At 55.2% G+C, this 12,107-nt stretch overlaps 1 protein-coding gene across 4 annotated transcripts in view, besides 2 other annotated features; it reads right to left on the reverse strand.

Moving 5' to 3' along the window:
• The window catches only part of CASZ1 (castor zinc finger 1), a 160,043-nt gene that overhangs the window by 74,097 nt on the left and 73,839 nt on the right, over window positions 1–12,107 (reverse strand). The gene's annotated exons all lie outside the window — the stretch shown is intronic.
• Window positions 1,596–2,140: an enhancer, noted in NCBI's record as "H3K4me1 hESC enhancer chr1:10772353-10772897 (GRCh37/hg19 assembly coordinates)". NCBI's record gives its function as "activates a minimal SCP1, AML or CMV promoter by ChIP-STARR-seq in naive H9 embryonic stem cells {active_cell/tissue: H9 hESC(naive)}" and the evidence as "EXISTENCE:reporter gene assay evidence [ECO:0000049][PMID:30033119]".
• Window positions 10,482–10,987: an enhancer, noted in NCBI's record as "VISTA enhancer hs389". NCBI's record gives its function as "enhancer in: heart[3/8]" and the evidence as "EXISTENCE:transgenic organism evidence [ECO:0001131][PMID:17130149]".

The following is a 12,107-nucleotide window of genomic DNA, read 5'->3' on the forward strand; positions in this document are numbered from 1 at the left end:
CCAGGCTTTCCCCAGCCCCTGTGCCAGGTCAAGTGACCCTAGATCTCTCTTGTCCCTGCTCCACAGCGAGATCATCAGGCACTCACTGAGCACACACTGTGTGCGTGACGCTGTGCCAGGCACAAGGAAGAGAAAACAAGAAGCTTACAAAAGGCCGGGGGCAGTAGCTCATGTAATCCCAGCACTTTGGGAGGCCAAGGTGGGCAGATCACCTGAGGTCAGGAGTTTGAAACCAGCCTGGCCAATATGGTGAAACCCTGTCTCTACTAAAAATACAAATATTAGCCGGGTGTGGTGGTGCACGCCTGTAATCCCAGCTACTCGGGAGGCTGAGGCGTGAGAATCATTTGAACCCGGGAGGCAGAGGTTGCAGTGAGCTGAGATCATGCAACTACACTCCAGCCTGGGCGACAGAGCGAGACTCCGTCTTGGGGGGAGAAAAAAGAAAAAGACAGCATACAAAAGTCGAGTTGGTGAGAATTGAGTTTGAATCCTGCCTCTGCTGCCTCCTGCCATGCAATTGGGTACGCAGGCTGCTTAACCTCTCCAGGCCCCAGCTTCTTCCATTGAAAAGTGGGGGCCCATGAGTACCTAGCTCAAAGGAAGTTCATTCAGTATTTCTTGGGCACCTACTACATGCTATTAGATCCTTGTCCTAGACCTAGAGAACATTGGCAAACCAAAGACTCAACCCTCAGGGAGCTTCCATTCCTGTGCTGTTGAGGACTCGCGGAAATAATGGTTAGCACAGTAGGTGGCACATAGCAAGTGCTCAATAAATATGGCCTCTTATTAGTTTCCAGGGTCCCTGCCTTTAAGAAGCTAGGAGAGATGGTGCAATTCCATTCCCAGGCATATACCAGAAAAAATGGAAAACAGGTACTCAAAAAAAAAAAAAAAAGAAAAACAAACAAAACCTTGTGCATGAATGTTCATAGCAGCACTATTCACAGTAGTCAGATGGTAGATACAATTCAAGTGTCCATGGACTGAGAAATGGACATACAACATGGAGTCTGTCCATACTATTGAATATTATTCAGCTATAAAAAAGGAGTGAAGTTCTGATATGGGCTACAATGTGGATAGACCTGGAAATGTTGAACGAGAAAGGAGCCAGACAGACACAATAGGCCACAAGTTGTATGATTCCATTAATATGGAATATCCGGAACAGGCAAATCCACAGAGACAGAAAGCAGTGGTTGCCAGGGACTGGGGGAAGGGGACAGTGAGGAGGGACTGCTAAGGGGTTCAGGGTTTCTGTCTGGAGTGATGAAAAAGTTCTGGAACTAGCTTAATAGTTGTGCAACTCTGCAAACGTACTTGATGCCACTGATTTCTATACTTTAAAGTGATTACAGGCCGGGCGTGGTGGTTCATGCCTGTAATCCCAGCACTTCGGGAGACCAAGGCAGGCAGATCACTTGAGGTCAGGAGTTGGAGACCAGTCTGGCCAACATGATGAAACCCCGTCTCTACTAAAAATACAAAAAGTAGCCGGGCATGGTGGTGGGCGCCTGTAATCCCAGCTACTCGGGAGGCTGAGGCAGGAAAATCACTTGAACCTAGGAGGTGGAAGTTGCAGTGAGCCACAATCGCCTCATTGCACTCCAGCCTGGAAGACAAGAGTGAGACTCTGTCTCAAATAAATACATAAATAAAATAAAATAAAGTAAAATAAAATAAAATGGTTACAATGGTAAATTTTACGGTGTGTGCATTTTGCCACCATAAAGTAAAATAAAATGATATCGCTTTTTTAAAAAAGCAACTGCTAGGGAGAGAAGGAATTTGTCCCCATGTGGCAGCTCAGGGCAGGTGCTGGGGAAGCCAAGCCAGGGGGGTGGGTAGGTGAGACACGGTGACTTCAAATGGGCCCTCTTTCCCCCTCTGCTTGAGAATCCACCATCCGAGTGGGGCTCCCGGGGCTCCACAGGATGTGCTGTGTGATCACTGAGGGAGAGGACGAGGCAGAAAGGCTAGGATGGTTGCAGTGAAGGGACCTCCCCTTAGGACCCCCCCGCTCAAGTGCCTGTGATTCCGCACCCCCGCGGGCTGCCGTTCCCGGCACACACACAGCGCTTCTCCTGTGCGGATCCCAATACACACGGCCCAGCCAATCCATCTCTCCACCATGCTCCCCAGATAACTTTTGCTGCCGCTCAGCATCTTAGTGCAACAAGCGCCCCTCTGGATGGGTCTGAGTCGATGACTTCCCCACCCACAGGGCTCCAGGGCTTCCCAAGGTCGAGGAGCCCCACCTCGAAGGGAAAGCCTGGAATAACCAGGGAGCCAGGCTCGTGGGGCAGCCCCCTCAAGCTCCTGCCCCCGCCCTCCTGCCTGTTCCAGAATGCGTGTACATATATAAACCCCTGCCTTGGCCCAGGAACTGTCAGGAGATCAACAAACAAAAGCTGCTTCTTGACAGGGAGTCATTTATATTTTAGCTTCGTTCCATTATCCTAACGAATCCTTCATCAGCAGATGCAATATTAACAGCAGAAAATCAGCTCATTACATCCGGGGGGATTTCATCAAGACGGCAATCATGTGCCGCTCCCAAGCCTTCAAGAGGCCAGTGGGGCTGTTATTTATTTATTTTGTTACTTATTTATTTAATTTTTTGGGTTCTTTCCACATAATTGCACTGCATCTCAAATCTTTAATAAATAATTTGTAGGTCCTGAACTGCAGACAGCTTTGCTCTCTGCCATGAGAGCCTACATTAGCCAAAATATTTACTACAATTTAAGAGTCATTAGAGTCAGGAGGGATGTGAGGAGGGGTACCCTGTTCTTCCGGAAACAGCCTGGTTTGGGGCTGTGGCGCTTGGCCCTCACTATAGTCCTCTAACCCCCTCTCTGGTTCTAAGGCCAGCCATCCTGGACTGGAGGCTCCCGGAAGGCAGGCCTCCATCTGTTTCCCTCAGCTCTCTTCGTTTGGGTGAGGATTTCCTGGGAGCTCTTACAGAGAGACAAGGCCATCTCTAAGTCCCCTGCTGGGCTTCTCCAGGCTTGATGAGGACAGGTGGCTGATGGAAAGGACACACGTCGTGTGGGGACAGCCACCTCTCACATGCTTGAGCCAGAGAGCCCTGCCGGGTTGGCATTGCTGGCCGCCCCTGTGCCAGAAAACTCTGCAAGGGGAACCTTCTCTGTCTTCCAGCAGGCCCTGGCTCAGGAGCTCCACCACCGTCTGACCCATCCCTCTTGGCTTCCCAAGGTTACGCCTTCAACTTCAAAGGAGAAGAAAATTCAGTGGGTCCAGAGGCAGACTGTCCCATTTTACAGATAAGAAAATGAAGGTTAAGAAACAAGCTCTTGCCAGGCGTGGTGGCTCACACCTGTAATCCCAGCATTTTGGGAGGCTGAGGCAGGTGGATCACCTGAGGTCACGAGTTCGAGACCAGCCTGGCCAACATGGTGAAACCCCGTCTCTATGAAAAATACAAAAATTAGCCGGTGTGGTGGCACGCACCTGTAGTAGTCCCGCTACTGAGGAGGCTGAGGCAGGAGAATCGCTTGCACCTGGGAGGTGGAGGTTGCAGTGAGCCGAGATCGTGCCACTGCACTCCAGCCTGGGCAACAGAACAAGACTCCATCTCAAAGAAAGAAAGAAAGAAAGAAAGGGAAGAAAGGAAAGAAAGGAAAGAAAGAAAGAAACTTAAGCTCCCTGCCCGAGGCAGCACAGCTAGGATGAGGCACAGAACTGGAACTCAGACTCGGCAGTGGCTCTGCTGAGCCTCCACACCTTCCACTACGCCAGAGCCTTCCAACGACCGGCCCTCCCAGTGCTCCTGGCTCCGGCCCACGAGGCTGGAGTGGCCACTGGTGCTGACGGGCACCCCCCGCCACCACCACTGGGCTGGCCGTGCTTTCACAGGTTTTTCCCAGCGGGGGCTGGATTTCTGCCCAGCCAGGAATGTGCTCCCAGGATGTCAATTCTAATCTCCCCAGCGCTCTGACAGAATTAAGCTCCAGTTTGTCCGACAACATCCCAAAGTTTCAGAAATCCAGGGCAGACTCTCTAATCAGGCTGCAGGACAAAGGTCTGGCCTGACCCTGTCACTTCCATTTATTCCTCCTGTCTGTCTCCAGGCCTCGGCCTTTCTGCAGTTTCCTCCACCCTCTGCCCCTTCCCTGGCCAGCCCAACCCCCACCCTCTCCTCAGAGCTGCCTTGTCTCCACCCAGCCCAGCATTGGCCCTCCCCAAGCAGCCATGCCAGTCCTGTTGCTCCAGCATCCAAAGCCGAGGAATTCCTATGAGACCCACCTGCCGCCGCTCAGCCGCGGGCCTAACCTTGGTCCAGGTTCCCTTCCTTCCATTAGCTGACTTTAGGGAGCACACGGGCTCCACCTTTCCTCGGCTCCAGGGACTAGGTGTCCAGTTCAGAGTTACTCTCCGAGTCAGCCCACCCTGGCCTCCGGTTGGCCCAACTCTGGGCTCCGCATAACTGCCCCAGAAGCATCCTCTGGCCTCAGCAACCTCCATCCTGTTTGAGGGGTCGGCTTGTGGGCCTTGGCAAGCTTTGGCCTCTCGGCCATGTTTGGGGACAACTATGTGGGCAGAGACCTCTCTTCCTCAACCAACTCTGTGAGTCACCTCTTGGTGACTGTCTACGATGGTAGAAGCAGTCCTGTACCCGCGCTAGGCAGGATCTGCGGTGAGAACCCCAAGCCCTTGGCTCTGTTGGATCGTGCCATTAGGAAGGGACAAGGAGCCTGGGAGCAGCCGGGCAGAGAGAGGCAGCAGAGATGCCTCCTCCACTCCCCACAGCACCCAATCCTCTCCCCACAGCACCCAATCCACACCCCACAGCACCCAATCCGCCCCCCACAGCACCCAATCCACACCCCACAGCATCCAATCCGCACCTCACAGCACCCAATCCGCACCCCACAGCACCCAATCCGCTCCCCACAGCACCCAATCCGCACCCCACAGCACCCAATCCGCACCCCACAGCACCCAATCCGCTCCCTGCAGCACCCAATCCACACCCCAGAGCACCCAATCCGCTCCCCACAGCACCCAATCCGCTCCCCACAGCACCCAATCCACACCCCACAGCACCCAATCCACACCCACAGCACCCAATCCACACCCCACAGCATCCAATCCGCACCTACAGCACCCAATCCACTCCCCGCAGCACCCAATCCTCTCCCGGCAGCACCCAATCCACACCCCAGAGCACCCAATCCTCTCCCCACAGCACCCAATCCGCTTCCCACAGCACCCAATCCACACCCCACAGCACCCAATCCGCTCCCCACAGCACCCAATCCGCTCCCCACAGCACCCAATCCACACCCCACAGCACCCAATCCACAACCCACAGCACCCAATCCGCACCCCACAGCACCCAATCCGCACCCCACAGCACCCAATCCACACCCACAGCACCCAATCCACACCCCACAGCACCCAATCCGCTCCCCACAGCACCCAATCCACAACCCACAGCACCCAATCCGCTCTCCACAGCACCCAATCTGCTCCCCACAGCACCCAATCCACACTCACAGCACCCAATCCCCACCCCATAGCACCCAATCCCCACCCCACAGCACCCAATCCACACTCCACAGCACCCAATCCGCTCCCCATCCACATGGCTCTCGGGTAGACCCGGAGTGCTGATACCTGCCTCCATTTCCAGAGGAAGTCACATGCACAAGCCGGCTAGAAGAGGCACAGGCAGAGAGGCATGGATGGGGACCCCGGCTTAAATCTGGCTTGCTCACATCAAAAGATTCATGGGGAGCAGTGGGCAGAGGGAGACGTATGGACCATCTGGGGGGATACTGAGGGTGGCTGCACTTGAGCCCCTGTGCTGAGCGTAAAGCCAGACCCAAGGGAAGGGGCTCCCCAAGCGAGAGCAGCAGAACGAATGCCCCGGTGCAGAGAGTAAGAAGAGGAAGAACAGGCGGAAGTGGCACTCTGCTGTTCTGCTGACCCTCTAGACAGCACAATAAATCTAGACTGGCCAGGATGGAGGGGCTCCCCAAGAGCTGCCCAGTGGCAGGTAGCACAGAAAGTCCTGGAATGCCACTAGTAGGCAGGGCCAGGCCACCTCCCTGGGCTGAGACCCGGCCCTGAGCATGGAGTCAGTCCATCCCCCAAAGGCTTTCTCAAGCCTTCCCCTCTCCAGCTTCCTTAGCCACATTGTACAGAGCGGGGGTCCCTTTCTTGGAGTTGCAATGACAGGCGGCTCTCTCTCCCTGGCAGTCTCTTTTACGTTCGGTCAAACTTCTCCCCCATCTCAAGGCTGCCCCTGCCTTCACCAGCACAGGCAGGCGGGGCACAGACCTAGCAGAGGGCTGGGCCTCAGGGCTCCCCTAGAGAGACTCAGATGGGCTGGGCTGCTGGAGGGACAGGAGCAGGAGGGACAGACGGCCAGCGAGGACACTGGGGAGGGCGTGTCTCCTTAATAAGCCCTTTCTCTGGAAGAATCAAAATCATTATAGTATTTTTACCTAATGACAGAAAAATCTACGAACGCCTGCCTATCAGCACTTTCCAAAAAGCCCCTGCAGTTCCCACGGAACCCACTCACCCCACCCCCAGCCTCTGCAGCTCCCCAGTTCCCCAAACTTCCCACTTGGCTTCTCTGCCTTTCTGTCCGATGCATCTTTCCTGCCTTGCCGTGCTGGGGTGTTGGTGAGTTGTTGGAGGTTTTTTTTTCTTTTCTTTTCTTTTTTGCTATTTATCAGCAGGTTGTGTGGAGCTGAGTGGTGTGAGCCTCACCCTGCTAAATAAAGCTTTGGTATTTCTGATAAAGCCATCAAATTCCTTATCGCACTGACACAAAGTGCATTTAAAGAGACAGACACCCTGTCCCTCCCTCCTCACCAGCCCCTGCCCCCTCCAACCAGTTCAGATTTCCAGCTGCTCAGACACTTTGGGATCAGACACCAAATACGGCTCCTGAGGACATGGATGGGGGGCAGGGGGCAGGGGACAGGGGCGGAGGTAGAAAACCCTTGCCAATTCCCCCCCAACTGATGTCAGAGCTGCCGGCACCCTGAACTCGGTCCCAGGGCGTGGCATGGGGCTTCCTGACCCAACTCTGGAAGCCGAAGGGAGCTATGAATAGAGACGTCCTGCACCGGAGGACGTCCTCATAAACAGAACAATCCTGTGGTAGGACAACAGCCATCAGTGGGAGGAAGAGTCCGGGCAGGCTGGTGGGCCTTTAAGGCTGTGCAGCCGCTGCGAGCACGCCTGGTCGCCTCAGCGACCAAAGCGGGTGCAGGGACGGGCCGAGGGGGCTACGGAGGCCCATTCAACACTGGGCAGACACACTCAGCAAAGCCTGACTTCACACATCCCTGGGAGGTGGGTGGAACTGCCTTCCCATTTGACAGATGAGGAAACTGAGGCTGGCCCAATGCCACAGGGCCAGGGGCAGGCCCAGCTGGGGCCCCAGCCCAGGCTTGTGGACAGCAGGGCTCGGCTCTGCTAAGTGAGAGATGTTCCTCCCCCGACTGGTTCGCAGTCTCCCCTTCCGCCCTGTTGCCGTCCACTCCCCATTTAGGATCCCACAAGACAGGCCTTCCTGTGTCCCCGTGCCCACTCCCACCTCCTCGGCCCTGACTCGGCAGCCCAGGCCCTGCGCCCACACACAGCCTGTTGGTTGAGGAATCAAATTTATTATTTTTAATTATTTTGATTTATCAAAGCAGCAGCTACAATCATATTAAACCAACTTGGCTTCTTGGCATTTAACAGATATAGCTGCCGCAGGACTCCCCCAGACTCCATAAAACATCCAGTCTGTCCACCTGCTCCCCAAGGAGGGCACGCCAGGCTCCTTCTCCAAGAACCCCAAATTGGAAGGCCACTAGGCCCCCACTTCTGGTTCTGCCCTGCCAGAGGCACATGCAGCCAAAGTCGCTGAGGGCCAGAGGGTGGGAAAGGAACAGGCTGGGCAGAGCTGCCAGTGCCTTGGGACACAGTCACCTCCATGCTTTAGCCCAGGAGACCCTGCCGGAGTCCTGACCCACTGGGGAGTGGGCAGCAGACCCAGGCCCACAACGTCTCCACTGGCATCCGTAGGAGTCTGCTCTATCCCACACCTATGACTGGGCACTTAACCTGCAGGAGCCAAATCATTCTGCAGAACCTTGCCCACAAGAGGAATTACTGCCTCTTTCTTTTTCTTTTCTTTTCTTTTTTTTTAAGACAGGGTCTCTCTTGCTCTGTTGCCCAGGCTGGAGTGCATTTGTGCATTTGGTATTTCTGATAAAGCCATCAAATTCCTTGGTGTGATCTCTGCTCACTGCAACCTCTGCTTTCCGGGTTCAAGCAATTGTTGTGCCTCAGCCTCCCGAGTAACTGGGATTACAGGCACTCGCCACCACACCTGGCTAATTTTTTTTTTACTTTTAGTGGAGGTGGGGTTTCCAACCATGTTGGCCAGACTAGTCTCGAACTCCTGACCTCAAGCAATCTGCCCGCTTCCGGCTCCCTAAGTGCTGGGATTACAGGCGTGAGCCACCGCACCCGGCCCCGTGCCCCTTTCTTGTAAGGGGAGAGCCTGAGGTTCGGAGAAGGGAGGTCTGCCAGCAAGGCACAGCTCCTAAGAACAGTAAGGCTGTTTCTCTTCTATTTGAATCAAAAGCCCTCATTCTTTTGACCGTACCCCACTGCCTTCCCTTTAGACCTGAAAAGCTGCAACCTGCCCACGAACTGTGGAGAATGGTAGCCCAAGACAAGGGACCCTGAAATTCAAGGTGATGTCCTAAGGCTGCACACGCCATGCATTTAGAATCTGAGTGCTTGGGAGAAGGGATCCCTAAGAAGCAGCGCTGTGGGGAAGGTGGCACCGAACAAGTTTCTAAGGGACACTCAGGTCCACCTGGAGCACGAGGAGAGGCTGGCCACCTGTAGGGCATGGGGAACGGGGGCTCAGGTGAGCAGATGCATGACTCAATTCAACCAGGGAGCTGGGCCATGCCCTCAGGTACTGCCCAATCCTGAAGCCCGTGGGTCCCAGAGCCTGGCACAGTGAGAGAAGAGGCAGCAGGGTATGGGAATAGAGGAATTGGGCACTTCAACGTTCCAAGCAAAAACTGCACACAAAGAGCATGGGGGATCCCCACAGGCCTGGAACAGGCACCTCCGGGGTTCAAAGGCCCACAGAAGCCACCGGAGGCAGCTCCCAGCCCCTGAGAGGAGGCAAATCTTGTCTTCTTGGTGCAGTGAAGAGGCCAGCAGTGCAGAGATATGGTGCCTGAACACAGGTCCTCCGACAGCACCAGGGTGCGGTGTGTTTGCGCACAAAAAGAATAGTCAGCTGGGATCAAACCAGGAGCCAGGCGGCTGCCGGTCCCCACTGCTCTGCCCAGAGGCCCTGTGGCCTGGCCACAGAGAGCTTGGATCCGGCTGCAAGTTCTGAAGTCTGGTAGGTACCGATGGGCATGTGATCTGGCCTCTCCGAGGTTCAATTTCCTTGTCTATAAAATGCACGCGATGATCGTGCCTGTCGCAGGGGGCTGTGGTGAGGGTTTGGGGAAGCGATGAGGGTAAAGCTCTTAGCAAAGTGTCTACACATTTCTATGTGGAAAATGTGGTGCCAGTCATCATTGTGATCATTGTCATCATCATCGCCATCGCTAAACACTTCTCTAACCAGGATATGGTAACTAGGAATCGTGCCTTTGGGGCTGGTGATGGCAGAGAGACTGGCAGCACTGACCAGCCCTCCCACTGTGCTCCCCAAAGAGCCTGGGGAAGCTCAGAAATGTCTAGAGGAGGCCACCCCTACTGCCTGCCCTGAAAACTGACGAAAGCAGCCACCAAGGCCCTGGACTGTAAGGCTGGAGGGGAAGGTGGGAAGACTTGGGCAGTCCCATTTGCCTATCAAAAACTGTACATTCGCTCGGCTTTCCACGGGACTCATGTCCTAATATGGGCCCAGCAGCTTTCTGGGTTATTTCGAGTACATGTGATAATGACTCCAGGCTTCGCTTCTGCTGCCCCCAGAAAACTTTCCATCTGGGGAGAGGGAGGACGGCTGGCAAAGAATGAGAAGGGCGTAGGGAAGCCCAAGGTCAGAGAGTGGGGAGGAAGTGGACGCCGGTGGGTGAGCTGAGGGAGGGTGAGTGGAAGCTGGAGGGTTAGGGCTGGCCAAGGGACCAAGGGGAGAGGCAGGCATGGGTGCCGCGTGGGCCCAGCCAAGGGCTCCAGGACACGAGGTGGACACCCGACCTCATGCCCTGCCTACCACCCACCGTCCCAGGGAAGTTCACCCTGCTCAGGGCCACAACCGGCTCTGGAGGGAGGGATTTAAGAGCAAAGCCACAGAGGGCCCTCATCCTGCCTCCTCGCCCGTAACTCTGGTGGGGGTCCCTTTTGTACAGGAGCCAAGCTGGGCTCCTGGGCCTCAGGCAACTGCCCGGTGCCCAGGGTCCCCTTGGCTCCTTGATTTATTTGCCTATTAATTATCTTTCTGGCCAAGCTTGGCCACCAACTCCAGACTGCACAGGGTTAACTCCAGACAGAGGGGCTGGCTGGCTTTCCTTCACTCTACCTCAATTTCTACTGCTCCTATCACCTACCTCCCCCACCCCCTGATCTTAGGGAAAAAAAAACCCATCAAAATAACTATTTTATGTCTCCAAATATGCAGATCATTTTCTTTAATGAAAGATGCTTGACGTCTCCGATCCAATTAATATGCAAATGCAGGAGAGGATTTATTTGTGACATTCTGTCTGGGTGAGAGAAAACAAAAAAGGCCTGTTAACCAAAACACTAATTGCTGTGACTGATTGTCACATATCATCATTTTCATAGGATCTCCTCCATTCCCGGCTCGCAGGGAGCTTGAAACCAGGACTGGTTCCATGCGGGCATCAAGGAGAAACAGGGCAACTGGCTACCTGCCAGCGTGGCCCCCTTGCCATCAGAGCCCACGGGGGGCTGGACGAGGGTGGAGGGTACGCCAGTGACCTCCCCTCCTAAGCTGCACCTCACCACTGACCTGCAAGTGCCGACCTGCAAACCAGGAAGTGGACGGCCCCAGCCTCTATCGGATCTGGCAGGCCTGGGGAGGCCTCAGGCAGCTTCAGCCCAGCAAGTCTCTGGGTCGTGGTGGAGGCCAACTGCCTTTTTGCTGCCTGACCTGCCTGCTAGGAAGCAGAGGCGGGCCCATGCCGAGGGGAAGAAGAGGGGCCAGGGCAGCCTCTTCGGGTCCGCCCAGCTGCCACTCCCACCTGTCTCTTCCTGTGTTTCTCCTGCTGTATCTTTTACCTTGAGCACCTGTTGACAGAGGCCACCTAGGGAAACTGAGGCACAGCAGAGCATCTGCTCGTTAAGATGACACAGGCATCTATGGAAACGTTGGAACCAGGCATCCGCTGTGTCTGGGCAGACACCTGCGTCTTGGCCCCGCCCCTTCGCAACCTGCACTGAAGTGGGCCGTCAGCTGTCACAGCCACCGTCTCCCCTGAGCGGCTCAGGAGGCCATGAGGGCTCCTCAGAGGACCATGAGGCTTCCTTTACCCCATGGCTTTAGGGAGAACAGGCAGGAGAGTGAGTGTTGACGGGCACCCCATTCTCAAACGCCAAGGGGGAACTGGAGAGGAAACAACATGTTTTGCTGAAGACACTCAGTAAAGGATGAGAAGGTTCTGGTGCCACGCAGTTCCAAACTCAAGGCCAAGGGGCAGAAAAAGATTCCCTAAAGCAGCCTTCCGTCCCACACGGGCCAGCGAACAAGGGGAGCCTACAGGGCACGGACTTAGGGACCGAGTACCTTCGAGGGCAGATCTCTTTCCATTCAAGCTCGAACATTCTGGGTGCTCGGAGAAGGCTTCTTCTATCTTCCTATCACCTTCCCAGAACTCCTCCAAGTTTCCAAGGACACTGAAAACTGGGTGCTGGGAGCCCAAGTGGGCAAGGCCCACTCACAGGGGGGCAGCTAAGAGGCAGGTATCCAGTGAGCACCAATTCGGACTGGCCCAGGGCTCCATGTCTGCCCCCAGCAGAGCCGTGGTGGTGGCTGAAGGTGGTCCCATCTCACTCGACTTCCATTTCAAACATCCCTGTCTCCTGCCCCAGCCCAGCTGCCTCCCTCTGGCATTACTGCCACAGGC

Source organism: Homo sapiens, chromosome 1, assembly GCF_000001405.40.
Source record: "Homo sapiens chromosome 1, GRCh38.p14 Primary Assembly".
NCBI lineage: Eukaryota > Metazoa > Chordata > Mammalia > Primates > Hominidae > Homo > Homo sapiens.